The sequence below is a fragment of the Homo sapiens genome, chromosome 10 (assembly GCF_000001405.40).
Source record: "Homo sapiens chromosome 10, GRCh38.p14 Primary Assembly".
In the NCBI taxonomy this organism is placed as follows: domain Eukaryota; kingdom Metazoa; phylum Chordata; class Mammalia; order Primates; family Hominidae; genus Homo; species Homo sapiens.
In genome coordinates this window covers 24826368-24851890 of record NC_000010.11, presented here as the reverse complement: position 1 = coordinate 24851890, position 25523 = coordinate 24826368, and the positions used below count along the sequence as shown (strand labels likewise).

The window sequence follows — 25523 nt, the reverse complement described above, 5'->3', positions numbered from 1 at the left end:
GCACCTGTTCACATAATGCAGCGTCGTAACGCCTTCTGCTTGAACTTTCCTTTGTGTTGTTGAGAGTGTTTCCTTTGGCATCGTATCACTGCATACTGCTTGCTTTAGAACACCAGGGCCACGTGACTCAATTATGCATATTTCTTGTTATGCACCAGGCTTCCTGAGCCCTTTCTCAACTCTGTATGCTAGATCAGTCATTCTTCATTGTAGGTTGGCTTGTTTGCCTTGCCTCCTTCCTCCCGAGTAGTCCTTCGGGTCCAGGTCCCTCTTGGGCTCATCGTGTGCATTTCTCACCATTTCTCACTCCCTCCTGCCTCAATGAAAGGTCCTCAAGTTTGAGTGGCGACAGCAGCATATGGTGACTTGCATTTATATAATCTAAATTTTGTTCCTTTTTTTTTTTCTCTTTCTCTGTCTGCTAAGATGCTGGATTTGAGATTCCAAACTTATTTGTGGTGGGATATGCCTTAGATTACAATGAATACTTCAGAGATCTGAATGTAAGTCTTGCATGCAAATCCCTAACCGCCCTTTTTATAAGAACTTAACAATTTAAAAAAGTATTGAATGCGTGTTAGTGATGTCTGCTATTGATTGAGTATCTTCTATGTCAGGAGTATGGTGAGCACATTGCATCCATACTCCCAATTAACTCCCACTACTATTCTGCAGGGTAGGTATCAGGATGATAGAGGCAAATTATGATTATCTCTATTTTGTACTAAAGAAATAGGAAGCTAAAAGCAGAACTATGGTTTGACACTGATTCTTCTCCATAGTCATTGACTGTGCCCAACCAACCATAACAATAGCCAATATTCTATACACTGGTTTGTGTCAGTGCTTGAACTCTAGCAGGTTTCAATTACAGTGGCATGCAGCTCATAACTCTTCCCTCTTTGGGGGAAATGATCTCACCACACAGACGTGGACCCCCAGTGTGGACCCCAGCTGTGTGACCCTGACCAACACTGCATGATCTAGAGGTAGACAACTTACCCATAGTGGACCAATCAGTCTCTCTGTCCTGGGAATTAGAAATTTAAACCAAAAGTCACAGAGACTGAGTGTGTTCAGACTTCAACCACTAGGATAGCAGTGCCCCCAGAGAGTATCCATAGCACCATGGGTGAAAGTCTCTGGAGCTGCCCTTGTTCCTGCCTTCTAGTTGCTTCATTGCCCAGCTCATCCTTGGATTCTGAGAGCTACCCCAGTATTCCACCAATAAATTCCCCCTCCCCCCTCTTTAAAGACACAGGGTCTCACTCCACAGTCTCACCTAGGCTAGAGTGCAGTGACGCAATCATAGCTCACTGCAGCCTTGAACTCCCAGGCTCAAGCGATCCTCCCGCCTCAGCCTCCTGAGTAGCTGGGACTACAGGCACACGCCACTATGCCTAGCTAATATTTTTACTTGCTGTAGAGATGGGGTCTTCGTATGCTGTCCAGGCTGGTCTTGAACTCCTGGCTTCAAATCATGCTCCCACCTCAGCCTCCCAAAGTACTGGGATTACAGACAGGGGCCACTGAGCCCATCCAAATCCTCCTTTTTTGCTTACATTAGCCTGGCCCCATTTCTGTTGCTTTCAATCAAAATATTCCTAACCCTTTGCTTGTTGCCCAAAAAGGGTTGAATAAGAGCCCATGTTGTGCTTGCCACTGTTATTTCTCCATTCACCCAAGCAGTTGTCATCTTACCAGTAGGAGACTTCTGTTTCTAGCAGGGCTAAACATACAGCTCCCTCAGCATTTCTGGGTTTTAGGGACCTGGGGAGCCGGATTCAGAATAGGAATCTCCAAACTAAACCACAAAGGACCTTTTGTCAAGCACTTGAATGGGTCTCTTTAGATTTTACCCACACATATAAATACACACATTTCTATTTAAATGATCAATAGCCAATTACAGGATGGCATTCGGTTATTACTGCATCACCTTTTCTGTGTCTCATATTTTGTTAAGAAACTGATGCGTTTAAATCCTTTATTGTTTCAGCACATATGCGTCATCAATGAGCACGGTAAAGAAAAATATCGAGTCTAAAGACATGAATTCTCACCACTAAAGTCCCAGATAGCATCATATTTACGCCTGTACTTGGGAAGCCAGCTGTCAAGTTTGTCCCCCCAGGCATCTTCACTCAGCAGGATATAAAAGAAAAAAATGTTCAAATGAGAGAGCTTTCTTTTCTGAGGTTAATATAAAGAGTATCAAAGGTTCCTAAGGAAAAGAAAGCAGTGCTTTTATTTGACTTGTTCCAAATTAAACACTCCGCCTTGTGACTCAGCAATGCTATCTACCTTCACACTCCTGAGCTCCGCCTTCCTTTGTTTTGATACAGTCATTATATTTGATTAGTATTCCCAGGAATACCCCCACCTAGTTACTCAAATATTTTTCACTTAACTTTTTATACTCTTATTTTGGTAATAAGCTTACAATATTAAGAAGCTGGGGACTTTTTTTTAACTGAAGACTTGAGTCCCCTATACCGGGAATGCAGCTATTAATAGATTCCCATATTTTAAAAGGAGGGAAAGGACAATTTAATATAAATTTCTGTTTGTGCATTTCTGACAGGCCATTATTATCTGCTTTGACAAAGCCTTTCTGAAACGCAGTGTACAATGAATCTTAATGATGTTATGAAACGAGCTTTGCTCGGGGCTCTTGATTGGAGCTTCCGGTATGTGATGACGGTATGTCATGTATGCATGGATGTACTCAACTGTGTTTAATACTCTGAATTTTAATTAGAAAAAAATACAATAGCAGCAAGGCCCTGGTTTCTAAGCTGTATCCTTTTATTCATGTGGGACATGAGCAAATGGCAGAATTAGGGGCGAGTGCTTTCAATGCTCGAAACTAAGCAAGTATAAATTTTTCCTCTTATTTGCATGAAAGGACAAGACACTGTTATGCCCTGTCCTAAATGTGAAGACAGAGGTTGAATTTTTTAAAAAATATCTTTAAAAGACTGATCACAAAATCCAAGGTGCTACAGGAAACAAGCACACTCAAGAAAGTTTTTTTCTGAATAACATTTTTTTCCAATTTCTCCGTTTTATAAGACATTTCCTAATTTATGGGGATTTTAATTGAAAATAAACTTGAGTCCCAATAGAGCTGTTTTTTTCTCACTTCCTACAAAATGCAAATGCAAAATAAATAACTAAGCAGCTTTTGTTTGGTTCTGAACCGTATGTGGCGTATTGTTATTAGGTTCTAGCTTCCTTTAAACTAATAAAGAATAAGAAAACTTGTTATGTTTTATCACTTCTTACTGTTTTTCTTCCGCCTCCATATTTTTTAAATACTTTCAGACATTAACATGTATGTGAGTCAGTAGCTTAAATATACGACTGCATGTATCTATCCTGCGGCTTTATTTTTGTTAACTTGGATTAAATCCAATATATGCACTAGTAGAAGCAAATGATTAAGCTGGGCTAGATCTGCTGCTTTTTTTTTTCCTCAAGCTCGTTTGTGAGAACAAGGAATTTTAGTTGTAAAAGAAGATTTTCCTGCATATCTTTGTTTCGGTCAGAGAAGAAAACAAGCCACACCCAAATATCCCAAGGGATAAGTCTGCAAAAGGAATCTCTTCTAGCTTTGTTTCACAGAAGCATTGGTACCCAAGCTTAGATTTATAATTGTGTCTGACTGACGAATTTCTTGAAATACCAAAATTAACACTCTGAATATAGCTTTTTTTTCACAATGCCATGTTTATGTCAGAGGACCTAGAAAAATCCAGGCACACATTTGGTTTTAAGTGTAAAATTATCCATAAGTATGCAATATGAAAATGTTTTCTTAAAAACGTTGAATTTTAGTAAGCATCAGTATCCTTTCTGAGGACAGTCTGTTTATTCAAATTAGAAAGGAGATTGATCTACCTCACAAGATTGTGAGGACTTGTATAGTTAATGCTGAAAATTCACTAAATATGCAAGAAGTTTAATCATGCTTGCAGTTTTTTCCTACCAGACAATATTTTGACAGTGATAGCCAAGAAAGTCATCTTGGGAAAAATAGTATTTCCTTTTCTCTTGCAAAACTCATGTCTAGTTAATATCACTGAGTTTATTCACTCTAAACCAAAAATGCAAAACTTATTACTTGATTAATAACAAATCCATTATTAATTTAGTGTTCCAAAGCTGATTTGTAAGGGGGAAAATGTGTATGTGTGTGTGTGTGTATGTGTGTGTGCGTGTGCGTGTGTGTATGTGTGTGTGTGTGCGTGTGCGCGCGTGTGTGTGTATTTCACTGGGAAGTTTGGAATCAGTTATAATCAACATAATTAGTAATATTTTGGGATTTTCCAAACAAATTAGAACCCCTCATTATAAATTGGTCCTTTCTTACAGGGACTGGAATGTACTCATTTTTGACCCACGGACCCCCTAGATGTAAATGGCAAATAGTCAAATCCCGACATACCTTGTTTAATCTTTGCGTATAAGATGGCTTGCCATGTTTCAGGCCTTCTGAGACTGTGAAAACAGCCTTTCAGAGCACAGTCAGGCATTTGCTCAGCCTTCTGTGAAATCAACTTGTGTCTTCCCAATGGAGAGAAAAAGCAGGCTATTCCACATCCAGAGACCGGGTGTCATGGAAATATGCCCTCCCTTTTGTCATAGAGGTAGTGTGTTCTAGGAAGTTGAAACCCCAAACCACGCTCTCCACCCAGTTATCTGACTAATTTGGGCAAACTTAGCATTTGGGAGTTTTACTGACTTTGCAATCGTGAAGCTCCTTTGGATCCCAAGATGACAATTGAGAGCTAACAACAAGCCAGTTTCAGGAAGGGAAGAAGGGGATCTCAAGAGGGGCCTTTGCACGCTGCTGAGGGGAGGTGTGCAGAAATAGGAAGAGGGTGTGCATGGAGAGGGCTGCATTATTTCTTGGCCAGTCATACACCCATGATGGCTTCTGAGCCCGGTGCAAAGAGGAAGACTAAGACACCAGCCTAAAGAGCTGCATTCATGGTTATCTTTGTGCTGCATAGTGGAGCTGACAGGCCAGCTGTTCTTCACATTTCATTGAGGAGCACGGGGAAGCTTTGGGGTGGGAAGAAGCAGGAAAGTAGCTCCGTGCTAGCACCCCAAGGGCTCTGCAATTTGGGAAGCACTGTGGACTGGAATGGGCGCTTCCCAAGATGCCACCCTCCAGAAGCGTCATGAGCCACAGACATCCGCAAGGAGACCAGAGCCCACATGAGAGGAATGTTGATGGACAAGTTCCAGAAAGCTCAGAGCACCCCAGGAACCCAGCTACAGCATCAGGTTGTGCAGCCCGCACTGCTGGTGCCCTCACAAAGACATCAAACCAAGGAGAGCCCACACTTCACTTGCCAACCCGTGGACCCTGGCTCACGACTGCATCAGCCCTGAGGAAGAGGTGCCTTTTCCTAAAAAGAGAGTCTCTTTCTAGTCCTCTCAGAAGAGATAGGTTTTTGCAATTTCTCAGCCAGGAGGGAGTGGCTTTTTAAGATAGGGTGGGGCACTGAAGCCCTACACTGCCCAAGAGGGAGAAAGAAGCCTGAACTAATGTTACTGTGACCTTCTTTGTGTCCAGAGCCTAGTGAGGGTTGAGTAGAAAGTAAGCTGTGAGTGAGGAAGGTGTGAAGGTCACTCAAGAAGCCTGGCTGTGAAGAGAAGAAGACATATACAATCATAGCCAGAAGGCTTTTTAAAGATGGGAGATTCCTGTGAACTCACCTCGGGGGTGTGGGGGGAAAGATGCAAGAGACTTGCGAGTTTTTATTTGCTGTAGAGAACAGCCACATAAACCAGAGAAAGTGTATTCCTTGTTGATGGGGGTGGGGGTTGGGGTGGCTCACGCCTGTCTTTGGGAAGCTGAGGTGGGATAATCACTTGAGGCCAGGAGTTTAAGACCAACCTGGGCAACATAGCAAGACCCTATATCTACAAAAATATAAAAATATATATATATAGTTATCCAGGGGTGGTGGCACGTACCTGTAGTCTCAGCTTCAGGGGGCTGAGGTGGGAGGATTGCTTGACCCCAGGAGTTTGAGGCTGCAGTGAGCTATGATCACACCATTGCACTACAGCCTGGGCAACAGAGCAAGACCTTGTCTCTAAAAAATAGTAAATAAATAAATAAATTTTGTTGATTGTTTTGTTAACAGATCATTCCAAAACTGAGTAGTTTAAATCAACAATAATTAGTTACTCTCTTTAATGGTTTACAAGAGTTAGGAGGCTAGATGTGGTGGCTCACGCCTGTAATCCCAACACTTTGGGAGGCCAAGGCGGGTGGATCACGAGGTCAGGAGATCGAGACCATCCTGGCCAACGTGGTGAAACCCCATCTCTACTAAAAATACAAGAATGAGCTGGGCATGGTGGCCCATGCCTGTATTCCCAGCTACTCAGGAGGCTGAGGCAGGAGAACCACTTGAACCAGGAGGCAGAGGCTGCAGGGAGCTGAGATTGTGCCACTGCACTCCAGCCTGGGTGACAGAGCAAGACTCCGTCTCAAAAAAAAAAAAAAAAAAAAAAGAGGAATACAGAGAAGACATACTGGAGGTAGTTTGTTTTTGCTCAGTGATGTCTGGTACTTCAGATGGAAGACTCCAAGGCTGATGGCTGCAACCAAGAGAAGCTGAACTGCACAATGTGGCAGCAATTATGTGGTTATTTAAATTAATTAAAGTCAAATAAAATTTAAAATTTACTTCCTCGTTCACACTAGCTATGTTGGAACTGCTCGATGGCCTCATGTGGTAGTAAGTTACCAACCATATTGGACAGTGAAGACATAGAACGTTTCCATTATGGAAAGCTTTTATGGAAAGCTCTAGTCTGAAGGCTTGTTTTTGTCTAGTGGTTAATGTTAGCTGTTAGCTGGAACCTTAGCTGAGGCTGTCAGTTGGAACCCTAACATGTGGCCTCTCCATGTGGTCTGGGCTTCCCCACAACGTGGTGGTTGGGTTCTAAAGTGGAGGGAGACAGAGAGAAGAAGGAGATGGAAGCCATATTGCCTTTTACATAGCAGGCTCACTTCTGCCATATTCTGTTAGTCAAAGCAGTTACAAAGATTTGCCTGGGTTCAAAGGGAGAGAACACAGACTGTCATCATTTGATGGAAGAACAGCAGCATCATATTGTAAGAAGATCAAGTGGGATAAGATGTATATTGGTGGTGATCTATAGAAAATACAATCTGCCACGGAAAAGTTATGTGCCCTGCACATTTTCTTTTTTAAAAAATTATTATTATTTTTATTTTGCATAGAGATGGGGTCTCACTAAGTTGCCAAGGCTGGTCTCCAACTTCTGGCCTGAAGTGATCCTCCCACCCTGGCCTCCCAAAGCCCTGCACATTTTCTATTAATAAGATTACTAAATGAGTTGATTATTCAGTGGTCATAAAACAAGTCTGCTTTTATAGATGTTAAAGAATTCCAGAATACTATCTAGAAGATGACAAAAAGAACACCAGACAGTGTGTGCACATACATATTTGCTTACTGATAGCGTTTGGAATAGATTATGAAGACATTGAAAGAGCAGATTTAGGCCAGGCGTGGTGGCTCATGCCTGTAATCCCAGCACTTTGGAAGGCCAAGAAGGACAGATCACCTGAGGTCAGGAGTTCGAGACCAGCCTGGCCAACATGTCAAAACCCCCATCTCTACTAAAAATTAGCCATGTGAGGTGGCATGTGCCTGTAATCCCAGCCACTCAGGAGGCTGAGGCAGGAGAATTGCTTGAACCTAGGAGGTGGAGGTTGCAGTGAGCCAAGATCGTGCCACTGCACTCCAGCCTGGGTGACAGAGTAGAACTTTGTCTCAAAGAAAAGAAAGAGCAGATTTATTTCTAAATGGCTTAAGTTTGCAGTATAAAAAAGTTTAGAAAAATAGATTTTGCTCATCAAGGATTCTATTAGTGTGAACTCATACTAAAATTTTAGTAAGAGTTCTATATTTATAGAAAGAAATTACATAATAATTTGGCCAAGAAACTAATCCAGGGTGGAGATTCCTTAAATACAATAAATATAACTGGGTGAACTGAACCCTATATAATATATATATAAAATATATATATAATATATTATATATGTTATGTATATAAATAATGTTATACCTGGAAACAGTAATCCAGTAATCCTCAAATCAATTAATAAATATTTTTAAAACAAAAGATTGACAACTAACAGCATGGTTTTACAATGAAAATTGCTCTGATTTATCTAATCTTCTAATATTGAGTGGTAGAATTGGTTGACTGAAAAAAGAAATGTATGTAATCTGTCTTATCTTTATTTTAACAAGGTTGTGCCCTGTGAAGAATATTCATCATTGCCTGATAAAGTAACTGACACTACATAGCTACTGGGTGACTGCACAAATCTTCATAGTTGTACTCAAAAGAGATCTGTCCTGAGCATAGCAAAGCATATTGTGAAAGATTCAAGCCTAGGCCCTCAAGCTTGTTGACATTTCGTGAGCAATTTGGTTGCAACTTCTGTGGATCATGCACTGTACAAAAACTTAACAATAACCCTTTTTTTTCTTTTGAGACAGGGTCTCACTCTGTCACCCAGGCTGGAGGGCAGTGGCGTGATCATAGCTCACTGCATTCTCAACCTCCTAGCCATTCTCAAGCCATCCTCCCACCTTAGCCTCTCGAGTAGCCAGGACCACAGGTGTACACCACCACCCTGGCTAATTTTTAGAAAAAAAATTAGTGGAGATGAGATCTCCCTATGTTGCCCAATCTGGTCTCAAACCCCTGAGCTCAGGAAATCCTCCCGCCTCAGCCTCCAAAAATGCTGGGATTACAGGCATGAGCCACCATGCCCAGCCTGAAAACTTAATAACTCTTAATCTAATACTTAGCACAAAATGTTGAGATAGGAATTGGCATCTCCATTTTAGAGATAAGTAAGTGTCAGAGAGATTGAATCACTTACTCAGGGTCACACAGCTTTTTTCAAAGCCAGAAATTGAACTAATGCTATTGGGCTGCTGAGTTAGTACTCACTTCACCACACAGGACTAAGCGTCATGTGCAGCTGGTTTTGCTCTGTGTCCCCACCCAAATCTCATGTTGAGTTGTAATTCCTAATGTTGGAGGTGGGGCTCAGTGGGAGGTGATTGGATCATGGGGGTGATTTCTAATGGTTTAGCACTATCCCCCTCGTGCTGTCTCGCAATAGGGTTCTCACGAGATCTGGTTGCTTGAAAATGCATAGCACCTCTCCCCTCTCCTTCTCTCTCGGCCACCTGAAGACGTGCTTGTTTCTCCTTTGCCTTCTGCCATGAATGTAAGTTTCCTGAGGCCTCCCAGCTATGCCCCCTGTACAGCATGTGGAGCTGTCAGTCAATTAAGCCTCTTGTCTTCATAAATTACCCAGTCTCAGGCAGGTAGTTCTTTATAGCAGTGTGAAAACAGACTAATAAACCCATAGAAAGTGTATAGACAGATGTATAGATGACATTCAGATGAGGATAAGAAAGAATGGTATGGTATAATAGGAAATATATTTGGTCTTTGTCCACAGTCCCTGGCACAGGGCTCCTGAAACACTTGAAATGTCCTGAGTGATAAGAGCATCTTTTGTTACTTGTAAGAAACCCCTTATGAGTTTAGGATGGAGTTGGTCACCAGAAGGACCAAGTGATTCAAGGGTTGGAAGTTTCAGACCCTCCCACTGAGCTCCAGAGAGGAGGCTGGGGGCGAGAGATTGACCTTTATAAAAACTCTGGGACAAGAAAATTCAGAGAGCTTCTAGGTTGGTGAACACAGTGCCATGAAGGGAAGGTGGCGTGCCTTGATTCATATCTTTAATAATCTATCTTTCTTTTTCTTTAATAAAAAAAAACATTTTCCTGAGTTCTGTGAGATGTTCTAGCAAATTATGGAAACTCAGGGCAGGTGGGAACCCACAGATTTGTAGCCAAGTTGAACAGAAGTGTGGGTTACCTGGGGACCTGATACTTGCAACTGGTCTCTGGAGTGGAAGCAGTCTTAGGGAATCGAGCTTTTAAACCTCTGGAGTCTGATGCTAACTCCAGGTAGTTAGTGTTAGAACTGAATTAAATTCTTGGACATCCACTTGGTATCCAGAGAACTGGAGAACTGGTTGATGGAATGAGAAAACATTCCAGAAAGACGGCACTTAGAACAGAATTCTCAAGCTTCTAATGTTTACCAATCACCTGGGAGACAAATAAATATAAATTACTTGAACCTATCCCTAGAGGTGTAGATTCAGCAGGTCTAGGTGAAAACCTGCATTTTTAACAATCCCTTAATCTTCTCCAAATGATTTTAATACAGATAATCCTGTAGTCATTCAGCAATCTAAAGGAACAGGATCAGAATTCTAAAAGACCCTTATAAGAGTGGAATCAGGAAGGAAAAAAGGGATGACATTCATTAAGGACAAATGTAAAACCATTTACTATTGAAAGAACAATACAATACAGATTGTCACTGCATAAGTGTACAAGAAAAATACTAGAAAGCCCTAATTAATAAAATATGGATCCGGCAAAATGGGGATAAATATTAGAAACCATTAAAACAGTGATCTCCCAACTTTTTTTATCACATAGCAATAAAAATGATAAGTATTTATAAGCAGTGGTTCAATGCTTAACAACAGGAATACATTCTGAGAAATGCGTTGTTGTGATGATTTCCTCATTGTCTGAACATCATAGAGTGAACTTACACAAACCTAAATGGTATAGCCTATCACATACCTAGGCCATATAATAGCCTACTGCTCTTAAACTACAAACCTGTACAGTAGTTTTACTGTACTGAGTGCTGTAGGCAATTGTAATGTAGTGGTGTTTATGTATGTAAAGATAGAAAGGGAACAGAAAAAATAATGATAATATAATCTTATGGGACCTCATTACACATGTGGTTTATTGACTGAATTTTCATTATGTGGTGCATGACTGCATATATGAATACTTCCTTCAAGCATATTTCCAATGTGGTCTTCCTATGATGAATCTTCTAAGACTTTTGTATGCCTGAGAATATTTTTATTGTATTCTCATATTTGAATGAAATCTTTACTGGATATATGTATTAGCCTTTTATCACATTGCCATAAAGAACTCCCTGAGACTGGGTAATTTATAAAGAAAACAGGTCTCATTGACTCACAGTTCTGTAGGCTGTTCAGGAAACATGGCTGGGGAGGCCTCAGGAAACTTACAATCATGGCAGAAGGTGAAGAGGAAGCAGGCACGTCTCACATGGCCCGAGCAGGAGAAAGAGAGAGAAGGGGGATGTGCTACACACTTTCAAACAACCAGATTTCATGAGAACTCTCCTACTATCACAAGTACAGCAAGAAGGAAATCGGCCTCCATGATCCAATCAGCTCCCACCAGGCACCTCCTCCAACATTGGGGATTATAATTCGACATGAGATTTGGGAGGGAACACAAATCTAAACCATATCAATATAAAATTCTAAGCTCCATGTCCTTTCTCTTCAATAAGTGAACGCATTACTTGTTCATTGTCTTGCATCCAGTATTGTATCTCAGAGGACTCAAATCTGAGATTTTATTTTTATTGCCTTGTGAAGTGCAAGAAATGGAGAGAAAGTCTAGGATCTATGCACTGTGGGAGTCTGATAGAAACACCTATGGCAGGGCCGGGCACAGCACTTCACACCTGTAATCAAAGCAATATGGGAGGCGGAAGCAGGTGGATCACTTGAGGCCAGGAGTTTGAGACCAGTCTGGCCAACATGGCAAAACCCCATCTCTACTAAAATTACAAAAATTAGCCAGGTGTGGTGACCCATACCTGTAGTCTCAGCTACTCGGGAGGCTGAGGCAGGAGAATTGCTTGAACCAGGAGGTGGAGGCTGCAGTGAGCCAAGATGTGCCACTGCACTTCAGCCTGGGAGACAGCGGGACTCAGTCTCAAAAAAAAAAAAAAAAAAAAAAAGATTTAGCAAACATGGTTATTAAAACTATTAAAACATCTGCTAAAAGTGTTCCAGATATTTAAAATTTTTAAAGTTAAGTGGAGATATAAAATATACATTTTTAAGGACCCAAATCATACTTCCAGAGTAAAACAGTGTTTGATTTGAAAAATACACCAGATGGGATGACTGCTAGATTAGACTTTGTAGAAGAAAAGATTCATGAACTTTAAAACATAACAAAAGAAGGCAATCTAAAATGAAACATACAGAGAAAAATATTTTTTTAATTAACAGAGCATCATGAGCTCTAAGTGGCTTAATATCTGTACAGTTGAAATTCCCAAGAACAGGAAAAAGATGATGGCTCAGAAAATATATTTGAATAAATTATGGCCAAAAATTTTTCATATTTGATGAAAACTATAAACCCAAGTTCAATGAATCCAAGTATAAAAAAATTTTTTTAAAAACCCACAGAAGAGAATGAGTACATCTTTAAGTACTGAAAACAAAATCCGTCAACCTACAATTCTATATGGAGGTGAAATAAAGATGTTTCCAGAAACACAAAAGCTGAAATACTTCATCAGCAGCAGACTTGCATTACAAAATGTTAAAGTTCTTTAAGCAGAAGGAAAAATGGTACCAGATTAAAGTATAAAGTCAAACTTCAGTATCTGCAGGGGACTGATTCCAGGACCCTCGAGGACACCAAAATCTGGAGATGCTCAAGTCCCTTATATAAAATGCTAACATCAGTAAGGACACAGTAGACTCGAATAACACTATAGATCAATGTGACCTGATAAATATTTTTAGCACACACTATTCAACAATAACAGAATACACATTCTTTTCAAGGGCACGTGGAACATTTACCAAGATATACCATATTCTATGAAGTCAAACAAGTCTCAAAAATTGTTAAGGAATTTATACCAAATATATTCTCTGACCACAGGGAATAAAATTAGATAATTCATAACAGAAAGAATTATCTCTGAAAAAATTTAAAAAAAGAAACTAAATAATAGAGTTCCAAATAAGCTATGGGTGAAACAAGAGATGAAAGGGGAAATAAAGTATTTTTAATTAAATGAAAATGAAATAAAACATGTCAAAATTTGTAGATGCAGCTAAAGTAATACTTAAAGAAGCTGTATAGCATTAAACACCTATATTAGGAAAAAAAAAAAAGAAAGGTTTTAAACAAGTAACTACAGATTTCACTTTAAGAAAGTAGAGGCCAGGCACAGTGGCTCATGCCTGTCATCCTAGCACTTTAGGAGGTTGAGGCAAGAGGATCACTTAAGCCCAGGAGTTCAAAACCAGCTTGGACAGCATAGTGAGACCTCATCTCTACTAAAAAAAAAAAAAAAAAAAAAAAAATGTAATTAGCTAGTGCCAGGTATGGTGGCTCATGACTGTAAACCCAGCACTTTTGGAGGCTGAGGCAGGTGGATCACTTGAGCTCAGGAGTTTGAAACCAGCCAGGGCAACATGGTGAAACCCCATCTCTACCCAAAATACACAAAATTAGCTGGTGTGGTGGTGCATACCTGTGGTCCCAGCTACTTGGGAGGCTAAGGTGGGAGGATTGCTTGAGCTCAGGAGGCAAGGGTTGCAGTGAGCCAAGATGATGCCACTGCACTCCAGCCTGGGCAATAGAGTGAGACTCTGTCTCAAAAAAAAAAGTGTTCCCTTTTCACCACATCCATGACAACATCTATTGTTTTTTGACTTTTTAAATAATGGGCATTCTTGCAAAAGTAAGGTTAGTTCTTAATTTGATTCTCAGGTTGGTCATTGTTGGTGTATAGTAGTGCTACTGATTTGTGTACGTTGATTTTGTAACTTGAGACTTTACTGAATTTGTTTATCAAATCTAGGAGTCTTTTGGAGGAGTCCTTACTGTTTTCTAAGTATGTGATTATATCATTGTTGAACAGCAAGAGTTTGACTTCCTCTTTTCCAGATTGGGCTCCCCTTATTTCTTTCTTTTGCCTGATTGCTCTGGCTAAGACTTCCAGTACAACGTTGAATAGAAGTGGTGAATGTGGGCATCCTTGTCTTGTTCCAGTTCTTGGGGAATGCTTTCAACTTTTTCCTATACAGTATGATGTTAGCTGTGGGTTTGTCATATATGATATTTATCATTTTGAGGTAAGTCTCTTCTATGCCTAGTTTTCTGAGTGTTTTTATCATAAAGGGAGGCTGGGTTTTATCATATGCTTTTTCTGCATCTATTGAAATGATTATATGGCTTTTTGTTTTTAATTCTATTTATATGATGTATCACATTTATTGACTTCTGTATGTTAAACCATCCATGCATTCCTGGGATAAAAGCCACTTGATCATGGCGTATTATCTTTTTGATGTGCTGTTGGATTCTGTTAGCTAGTATTTTGTTAAGGATATTTGCATCTGTATTTATCAGGAATATTGGTCTGTAGTTTTCTTTTTTTTGTTGTTATGTTCTTTCCTGGATTTGGTATCAGGGTGATACTGGCTTCACAGAATGAATTAGGAAGGATTCCCTCTTTCTCAATCTTTTGGAATAGTTTCAGTAGGACTGGCATCAATTCTTCTTTGAATGTCTGGTAGAATTCAGCTGGGCTTTTTTTTCTGATTCAATTTTGCTGCTTGTTATTGGTCTGCTCAGGGTTTCTATTTCTTCTTGATTAATTTAGAAGGGTTATGTTTTTAGGAATTTTTTCATTTCCTCTAGACTTTCTACTTTGTGTGCATAGAGGTATTTTTAGTAGTCCCAAATTACCTTTTGTATTTCTGTGGTGTCAGGTGTAATGTCTCCAGTTTCATTTCTAATTGACTTTATTTGAATCTACTTCTTTTCTTAGTTAATCTAGCTAATAGCCTATCAATTTTGTTTATCTTTTCAAAGAACCAGCTTTTTGTTTCATTGGTATTTGGTATTTTTTGTTGTTATTGTTTCAATTTCATTTAGTTCTGCTCTGATCTTTGTTATCTCTTTTCTTCTGCTAGCTTTGGATTTAGTTTGTTCTTTTTTCTCTAGTCCCTTGAGGCATGACATTAGGTTATCAATGTGTGATCTTTAAGACTTTTTGATGTAGGCATTTAGTGCTTAACTTTCCTCTTAGCACTGCTTTCGCTGTATCCCAGAGGTTTTGATAACTTGTGTCACTATTTTCATTCATTTCAAGGGATTTTTAAATGTCCACCTGGATTTCATTATTAACCCCCAAAACATTCAGGAGCAGATCATTTAATTTCCATGTATTTGTATGCTTTTGAGAGATCCTTTGGTAGTTGGTTTCTAGTTTATTCCACTGTGGTCTGAAAAGATACTTGATATGATTTCGACATTTTTAAATTTACTGAGACTTGTTTTGTGGCCTGTCACGTGGTCTGTCTTGGAGAATGTCCTATGTGCTGATGAGAAGAATATATGCTCTGTAGTTCTTGGGTAGAATGTTTTGTAAGTATCTGTTAGGTCCATTTGTTCCAGAGTGTAGTTTAAGTCTATTGTTTCTTTGCTGAATTTCTGTCTCAATGATCTGTCTAGTGCTGTCAGTGGAGTGTTGAAATCCCCCACTATTGTGTTGCCGTCTATCTCATTTCTTAGGTCTAGTAGTAAATGTTTTATGAATCTGGGAGCTCTAGTGGTAGGTGCATATAAATTCAGGATTGTAATATCGTCTTGCTGGATTCAACCTTTTATCATTATATAGCGACTTTCTCTGTCTTTTTTTAATTGTTGTTGTTTTAAAGTCTGTTTTATCTGATATAAGAATAGCTTTTCCTGCTTACTTTTAGTTTCCACTTGCATAGAATATCTTTTTCCACCCCTTTATCTTAAGTTTATATGATTCCTTACATGTTAGATGAGTTTATTGAAGAAGCTAGTTTTTGTATTTTAGTAGAGACAGGGTTTCACCGTGCTAGCCAGGCTGGTCTCAAACTCCTGACCTCAAGTGACCTGCCCATCTTGGCCTCCCAAAGTGCTGTGATTACAGGCATGAGCCACCGTGTCCGGCCAGAATGTGACTTTAATGTTTGTAGTTTATTATAGCCTAATTTGGGTCTTGATGCTTTCAGGGTTGAAGACTCTGTATAAGTCCCTTCGTTATAGAGAGTCTTCGTATGATGGCTTTCTCAGATACTGGTTGTAGTAGCAATGCACTCAGTGTGTGAGCAAGTTCACTATCTGCTATGGGGTTGGAATGGCAGAGGTCTCTTGAAACTTACCTTCTTCACCCATGGTGTACTCTTATTTATTTATCTATTTCCCCAGTATTCTATTTACTAGGTTGAATAATTCAGGCTTTAGGCCAGTAGGGTAGGTGTCCCTGGGTAGAAACTGGTTGTGGCTAAAGCAGGTGGGTAAATGCAACACCAAATGATGGGCAGACGTCCCAGTCTTGACAGGGGTGTCTGGGGGAACTCTCAGTGAAATGCACTGAGATCTTATCATGGGAAAGGGTGGAAGCCACTTCAGCTCCCTGGCCAGGCCAGCAGGAAAGCAATCTACCACCCAGACATACTTCTGACCCAGTGTTCTCGCTATTCAGAGCAGACAGGAGCATCTTTCCACCTGCAGGAACGTTGATGTTCCTAGAGGTAGAGGAATTGCGACTGTACCTCTTGTGCAAGCCTACACCTGGCAGGTGTTCCACCTGCGGGGATGCAGTCAAGCTGAAGTGTTCCAGAAAGGCTGTCTATAGAGTCACCCATGTCAAGCTCCCAGGGGAGAAGCCAGAGTTGTTTCTGCAGTGGTGGATGAGGAGGAAAAGAAGTCCCCTTCAAGACCCTTCACAAGCACCAGGGCTGCCTGCTGGTGAGACAGAGCCGCAGATGTTCCCCACTGAGCCCAGCATTGCAACTGTGCCTCTGCTGAAAGAAACTTACCACCAGGGGAAAGATCTGAGATTCAAGGCCTGCTGTTCAGATTCTTTTGTCCCATGCGGTGTTGCTTTGATGTGGTGTATTCTCCCTTCCCCTAGGAATAGGAGTCCCTGAGAGTCAGACTACAGTGAGTGCTGTTCCTCCTCTGGATCTAGCCCCACCTGGGGCTGCCATACTCCAGGCTGGTACTGGGGAATATCTGCAATGGATCCAATAATGTAATCTGTCCTCAAATCTCCTAGCAGCAGGTACCAGCCCTGATGAGGGTGGTAGGGGAATGACGTGGGCTCTGAGATTCCTTGCTTATATTATAACTAGCCTTAGTGCATTGGCTTTCTCAAATGCCAGTCTTAAGAGTAATGAACTGGTTACATGGATAGGCTCAGGAACCACTGGTTAGCCAGGATGGTACAGGCAATGGTGATAGCGAGGTCACACACAAGTTTTCTCCTTCTTGGGTGCAGTGTTCTTCTACCTGGAGATGCTGTAATGGACTGTGTTGGTAGGCCTCCAGCCAGGAGGTGGCACTTGCAAAAAGAGCACCATCTGTGGTAGCAGTGGTAGGATTTGTGCTTGCCATATGTTACCTAAGGGAGGTACTCTGGTATCTCAAGTGATGGGCAGGGCCATGGGGCTCCCAAAAGTTTCTGTCCTTTGTGTTAAACTACCAGGGTGGGTGGAGGGGTAAAGTCAGGTGGGGGCTGGGTCAAGCAGGTCTGAGCTCTGGCTCTCCATAGGCAGGGCAAGCAGAGGCCCCTGTGTGGTCAGGAGGGCAGTTCTCTGGACACTAGGGTAATGATCCGGGAAGGAACATAACTGCCTCTGCTGCACAGAAGAGTTTATGCAGGGAGTGGGGAGTACAGGGGGCAATAGGCCTCATCCAGCTCCCACACACTTGGCAAGGCAGGGCAAGACCTGTTTTTTAAAAACAAACAAATAAAAAAATCTAATAAAAGAGGAACAAATTAATTGCAAAGTATATAGAAGAAAGGAAAGGAAATAATAAATGTTAGAAAGAAAATCAGTGATAGAGAAAAACAAAAACCACTGGAAAAAAAGGATGAATGCAAAAACTGGTTCACTGAGAAGATTAATGAAATTGATAAAATACAGCCACACTGATCAGAAAAAAAAGACACAAATTATTAATATCAGCAATGAAAGAGGTGACATTACTACAGATTGTACAGATAATAAGAAAATATTGACCAGGCACAATGGCTCATGCCTGTAATCCCAACACTTTGGGAGGCCTAGGATCCTTGAGCCCAGAAGTTTGAGACCAGCCTGGGCAACATAGTGAGACCCTATCTTTATTTTTTAAAACAAGAAAATATTAGCAATATTATATGCCTATAAATTTGATGACTTGGATAAAATAATAAAATGCCAACTTGATCGTGGTGGATAAGCTTTTTGATGTGCTGCTGGATTTGGTTTGCCAGTATTTTATTGAGGATTTTCACATCGATGTTCATCAGAGATATTGGTCTAAAATTCTCTTTTTTTGTTCTGTCTCTGCCAGGCTTTGGTATCAAGATGATGCTGGCCTCATAAAATGAGTTAGGGAGGATTCTCTCTTTTTCTATTTATTGGAATAGTTTCAGAAGGAATGGTACCAGCTTCTCTTTGTACCTCTGGTAGAGTTCAGCTGTGAATCCACCTGGTCCTGGACTTTTTTTGGTTGGGAGGCTATTAATTATTGCCTCAATTTCAGAGCCTGTTATTGGTCTATTCAGGGATTCAATTTCTTCCTGGTTTAGTCTTGGGAGGGTGTTTGTGTCCAGGAATTTATCCATTTCTTCTAGATTTTCTAGTTTATTTGCATAGAGGTGTTTATAGTATTCTCTGATGGTAGTTTGTATTTCTGTGGGATCAGTGGTGATATCCCCTTTATCATTTTTTATTGTGTCTATTTGATTCTTCTCTCTTTTCTTTTTTATTAGTCTTGCTAGTGGTCTATCAATTTTTGTTGATCTTTTGAAAAAACCAGCTCCTGGATTCATTGATATTTTGAAGGGTTTTTTGTGTCTCTATCTCCTTCAGTTCTGCTCTGATCTTAGTTATTTCTTGCCTTCTGCTAGCTTTTGAATGTGTTTGCTCTTGCTTTTCTAGTTCTTTCAGTTGTGATGTTAGGGTGTCAATTACACTATTGGTGGGACTGTAAACTAGTTCAACCATTGTGGAAGACAGTGTGGTGATTCCTCAAGGATCTAGAACTAGAAATACCAATTGATCCAGCCATCCCATTACTGGGTATACACCCAAAGGATTATAAATCATGCTGCTATAAAGACACATGCACATGTATGTTTATTGCGGCACTATTCACAATAGTAAAGACTTAGAACCAACCCAAAAGTCCATCAGTGATAGACTGGATTAAGAAAACATGGCACATGTACACCATGGAATACTATGCAACCATAAAAAAGGATGAGTTCATGTCCTTTGTAAGAACATGGATGAAGCTGGAAACCGTCATTCTGAGCAAACTATCGCAAGGACAGAAAACCAAACACTGCATGTTCTCACTCATAGGTGGGAACTGAACAATGAGAACACTTGGACATAGGGTGGGGAGCATCATAAACTGGGGCCTGTCAAGGGGTCGGGAGAGTGGGGAGGGATAGCATTGGGAGATATAACTAATGTAGGTGACAAGTTGATGGGTGCAGCACACCAACATGGCACATGTATACATATGTAACAAACCTGCACGTTGTGCACATGTACCCTAGAACTTAAAGTATAATAAAAAAAATTTTTTTAAATAAAATTAAATTAAATTCTAAAATGCATAGTTTTTTTTGTTTGTTTGTATTGTTTTTTGTTTTTGTTGGGGTAGAGACGGGGTCTCACCATCAAGTGATCCTCCTGCCTGGCCTCCCAAAGTGCTAGGATTACAGTCATGAGCCACCATGCCTGGCCATGCAAGTTTCTTGAAACACTCAAACTCCCAAAGCTCAATGAAGAGGAAATAAATAAAATGAATAGCTCTGTAGCTATTAGAGAAATTACATTTATTGCTAAAACTTTCCTATAAGCTGGGCACGATGGCTAATGCCTATAATCTCAGCACTTTGGGAGGCTGAGGCAGCTGGATCACTTTGAACTCAGGAGTTCAAGACCAGCCTGGGCAACACGGCAAAACCGCATCTCTACAAAATATACAAAAATTAGCCAGGCATTGGTGAGGCTGAGCCCAGGAAGCAGAGGTTACAGTGAGCCGAGATCGCGCCACTGCACTCCAGCCTGGGTGACAGAGTGGGACTCTGTCTCCAAAAACAAAAAACAAACAAACAACAAAAACTTTCCCATGAAGAAAACATGTCTGCAGGACCTTCCTAGTAAATTCTACCAAACATCTTAAGGACAAAATCATAGCAATTACACATTAACTCTTTCGGAAAACTGAAAAGGAGGGAATACTTTTAAACTCATTCTATGAGACCAACATTAACTTGCTACCACAATCAGACAAAAATATTGTAAGAAAAAGAAACTACAGACCAATATTCTTCACGAACACAGATGCAAAAAATTCTAAACAAAACTTCAGTAAATTAAATTCAACATATATAAAAATATAATATGTCATGACCAAGTGGGGTTTACCTCAAGATTACAAGGCTGGTTTAATGTTCAAAAATCAATATAATTCATCATATTAACAAACAAACAAAAACAGACACCACAGGATCACCTTAACAAATATTTTTAAAGGTCTTTGCCTAAATCTAACATCCATTCTTGATTAAATCTCTTGGTAAACTAGAAAAGGAAGGGAATTTCCTCAGTCTGATAAATGGCATCTATAAAAAACAAAAAACCTGCCATTAACATCATACTTAACGGTGAAAGATTAAATACTTTTCCCTTGAGATCTGAAAAAGACAAGGATTCTGCTCTCACCATTTTTATTCAACATTGTGGTAGAAGATCTATTCAGTGTAACCAGGTAATAAAAAGAAATAAAAGGCATCCGGATTGGAAAGGAAAAAGTAAAACTGTCTTTATTCACAGATTAAATGATCACCGATGTAGAAAATCTAATGAGATCTATCAAAAAGCTAATAGAACTAAGTGAGTTTAATAAGGCTGTAGAACACAAGCTCAATATATAAAAACAAATGTATGTAGTAGGAACAATCAGAAATTTGAAAGTTAAAATACACAACTTATAGAATAGCATCCACAAATATGAAATACCGGAAGGATACATTTAAGGAATCTGAGGAATGGTGTGGAAGGCTTGTATGCTAAAAACTACAGAAAGTGCTAACAGAAATTTTTAAAAAGCTAAACAAATGAGGAGATATGCTGCGTTCTAGAGTCAAAAGAGGCAATATTGCTAAAATGTTAATACTCCCCAAACTAATTGTGCTCAAGTAATTGGATATGCATATGCTGAAACATGGATTTTGATCCATATTGCAAAGCACAGACATAAATTAACTCAAAACTTGATCATATTAGCTGGCTTGGTATTGGCGCCTGTAATCCCAGCTATTCAGGAGGCTGAGGTAGGAGAATAGCTTGAACCCGGGAGGTGGAGGTTGTAGTGAGCTGAGATTGCACCACTGTACTCCAGCCTGGGCGACAGAGCGAGACTCCATCTTAAAAATAAAAAAATTGATTATAGACCCATATGTAACGCCTTATGTAGAAAATAATATGTAGAAACTATAAAACTTCTAGATAAAACTTTTCTGACCTTGACTAGTCAAAGATTTCTTAGCTAAATCACCCAAAACAGGATACATGAAGGAACAAATTAATAAACTGGATTTTGTTAAAATTATAAACTTCTGATTTTCAAAAGACACCACCAGAAGAAAGAAAAGACAAGTCAGAGACTGGCAGAAAATATTTGCAAAGGATGTATCTGATAAAGAATTTGTATTGAAAATATATAAGGAACTCTCAAAACCCAATAACCAGCAAACAAAATGACCCAATTGTTAAAATGGGCTAAGTATCTGAATTGTCACTTCATCAGAGAAGACATAGACATGGCAAATAATCACATGAAAAATGCTCAACCTCATTAGTCATTAGGGAAATGCAAATTAAAACCAAAATGAGATAACACTGCAGACCTATTAGCCTAGCTAAAATTAAAAAGACTGACCATACCAAGGGCTGTTATGGATTTGGAGGAACTGGAATTCCCATACACTGCTGGTGGGAATGATACAACTTTTCTACATCATGTTTAGAGAAAAAATAAATAAATAAAATAAAGTAAAATAATACAACCATTTTGGAAAACAGTTTGGTTGTTTTTCTTACAAAGTTAAATATACACTTAGCATATGATCCAGCTATTCCATTCCACTCCTAAATATTTACCCAAGAGAAATAAAAGCATATATCTAGAAAAACATACCTGAGGCTAGGCCCACTGGCTCATGCCTGTAATCCCAGCACTTTGGGAGGCGAAGGCAGGTGCATCACTTAAGGCCAGGAATTTGAGACCAGCCTAGCCCACATGGCCAAACCCCATTTCTAAAATACAAAAATTAGCTTGGTGTGGTGGCACACACCTGTAATCTCAGCTACTCAGGAGGCTGATGTATGAGAATCACTTTAGCCTGGGAGGGAGAGGTTGCAGTGAGCAGGGATCGTACCACTGCATTCCAGCCTGGGCTGGAAAAGAAAGAAAGAAAGAAGAAAAAAAGAAAGAAAGAAGGAAAGAAAGAGAAAGAAAGAAAGAAAGAAAGAAAGAAAGAAAGAAAGAAAGAAAGAAAGAAAGAAGGAAGGAAAGAAAGAAAGAAAGAGAATGTTTATAGAAGCTTTATTTGTAATAGTAAAGCTGGAAACATTTCAAATATTTATCAATATGTGAATAGACAAAGGAATTGGTGTATCTCCATACCACCGAATACACTAAACATAAAACTATTGATACATGTTAAAACATAGATGGATCTCAAAAATGATTACATGGAGTGAAAGAAGCCGACTGGAAAAGGAGCATACTGTGTGATTCTATTTACATAAAATTCTAGGAAATGCAAATTAATGTAGAGTGACAGAAAGTAGACCAGTGGTGCTTGGGGATAGGCAATGGAAGAGCAAAGACAGGGAGGGATGAAAGGAGGTGGTGGCCAAGGGGCACCAGGAAACTTTTGTCGGTATTATCTTTATTTCAGTGATGGTTTCATGGGTATATTACATATGTTATAACTGATCAAATCGTATACTTTAAATATAGGCAGTTTATTGCGTATCCGTTATACCTCAATAAGCCTATTTGAGAAAATAAAACTAGATAGTACAATCCCATATCATTTGATCAGAAAGTCCGAGTGCGGTGGCTCACGCCTGTAATCCCAGCACTTTGGGAAGCTGAGGCGGGTGGATCACTTGAGGTCAGGAGTTTGAGACCAGCCTGGCCAACATGGAGAAAGCCAGTCTCTACCAAAACTACAAAAAAAAAAAAAAAAAAAAAAAAAAAAATTAGCCAGGCAAGGTGACCAGCACCCATAATCCCAGCTACTCGGGAGGCTGAGGCAGAATCGCTTGAACCCAGAAGGCAGAGGCTGCAGTGAGCCGAGATCGCACCACTGCACTCCAGCCTGGTTGACAGAGCAAGACTCTCTCTCAAAAAATAAGAGAATAAAGAAATATATTATGTATAACATGCATATGGACTGTCACCCCTTTGACATTATAGGATCTCTTCTCTTCCCTTAGGCTATTTTAAATACTGTACCTGACACGTGGCATCTGACATATGCGCCAAGGGAGGGCTTCATTGCAGTCCACATGTTAAATGGTAATAAGGCTTAGTTTCTTGTTTTTAGACTTAAAAGAAGAAACATAAAAAGAAGTTTTCATACTTCCTGCTCACTCTCATGAATCGTGTGAACCCATCTAGAGATATGAACATCCACCTTTGGAGACAACTGCAAAAATGATAGAAAGAGTGGGAACTGTCTTGTTTCCTCTTTGTCCCCAGTGTCTGCACAAGGGTAGGACACAATAGGCATTTGCTAAATGTTGATTGAATGAAGCAGAGCTAACAAAGCTATTTTGTCGGTCGGGCGTCGTGACAGCACTTTGGGAGACGGAGGTGGATGGATCAACTAAGGTCAAGAGTTTGAGACCAGCCTGACCAACATGGTAAAACCCAGTCTCCACTAAAAATACAAAATTAGCTGGGCATGGTGGCAGGGGCCTGTAATCCCAGCTACTCGGGAGGCTGAGGCAGGAGAATTGCTTAAATCCGGGAGGCGGAGGTTGCACTGAGCCAAGATTGTGCCATTGCACTCCAGCACTCCAGCCTGGGCAACAAGAGTGAAACTCTGTCAAAAAAAAAAAAAAAAAAAAAAAAAGCTATTTTGTCCCATTGATCTCAGGACTAATTTGACTTTCTAGAGTACCAGCATTAGTTCTGGGAATAACACATTAAAAAAAAAAAAAGTAGTGGATAAGGAAAGAGCAAAAAATTGTAAAGAAGTAAAATTCAAAAGAAAGAATGAAAGAACCTAGAGAAAAATCTAGGGATGGGGTAGAGTTCAGGGTGTTAGAGTTGAATTCCAGTGTTAGGAGATGAAAGGCCGAACCCCATTCTTGAAAATCAAGTCCAAGTGTTCCTGCTCCCCATTAGAAAGAAACAGAAGCCACGACCTGGATTTATTCTGATGTAAGAACGCTTTTCTTGGCCGGGCATGGTGGCTCATGCCTGAAATCCCAGCACTTTGGGAGGCCAAGGTGGGTGGATCACTTGAGGTCAGGGGTTCGAGACCAGCCTGGCCAACATGGTGAAACCCTGTCTCTAATAAAAATACAAAAAAATTAGCCTGGTGTGGTGGCATATGCCTGTAATCCCAGCTACTTGGGAGGCTGAGGCAGCCTTGAACCCAGGACGTGGAGGTTGCAGTGAGCCAAGACCTCACCATAGTACTCCAGCCTGGGCGACAAGAACCAAATCCTGTCAAAAAAAAAAAAAAAAAAGAACATTTTTCTCAATTCTCTGTCTGGTCTACACTTCAACATTTAAAAAATAATAGATTTCTCTGAAATGTGTCTTGGGGTGCAGAGGGGAAGTAGGAGGGATGATAGAAGTGATGGTCTAGACTTCCCAAAATCTTTTCCGCTGTATTAAGCTATTAAGATTTTCTGCCGGGCGCGGTGCCTCACACCTGTAATTCCAGCACTTTGGGAGGCCGAGGCGGGCGGATCACGAGGTCAAGAGATCGAGACCATCCTGGCTATCACAGTGAAACCCCGTCTCTACTAAAAATGCAAAAAAAATTAGCCGGGCGCGGTGGCGGGCGCCTGTAGTCCCAGCAACTCAGGAGGCTGAGGCAGGAGAATGGCGTGAACCCTGGAGGTGGAGCTTGCAGTGAGCCGAGATCGCGCCACTGCACTCCAGCCTGGGCGACAGAGCGAGACTTCGTCTCAAAAACAAAAGATTTTCTAAATGGGCAAGCATTGAAAGTATTTTTCTCCAGTGTTTAAAATACACATACTGATGAACTTCTCCATGTTCATATGCACACTTGATAAACAAAGTTATCTTTAGTATTATCAAAAGTAAAATGTCTCCCAAGACATGTCATATTTATTGGCCCTAATATAGTTTCGTTTTTTATCATACACTATGTATGTGACCACTGTTCACTTAAATGTCATCTATTTTCAATATCATTCTGATCTATGGCTCAAATCA

The 25523-nt window shown here is 40.2% G+C and overlaps 1 protein-coding gene across 2 annotated transcripts in view; it reads left to right on the top strand.

Annotated features, from left to right (window-relative positions):
- Window positions 1-3277, top strand: part of PRTFDC1 (phosphoribosyl transferase domain containing 1) — a 103993-nt gene extending 100716 nt beyond the window's left edge. The window contains exons 8-9 of one of the 2 annotated variants that reach the window (NM_020200.7): window positions 427-503; window positions 2000-3277. In NM_020200.7, coding sequence (NP_064585.1) covers window positions 427-503; window positions 2000-2047 — 125 coding nt within the window. In that variant the 3' untranslated portion in view covers window positions 2048-3277. The remainder of the gene's footprint in view (window positions 1-426; window positions 504-1999) is intronic. The other variant, NM_001282786.2, reaches the window with a different exon arrangement.
- The last annotated feature ends 22246 nt before the right edge of the window (window positions 3278-25523 follow it).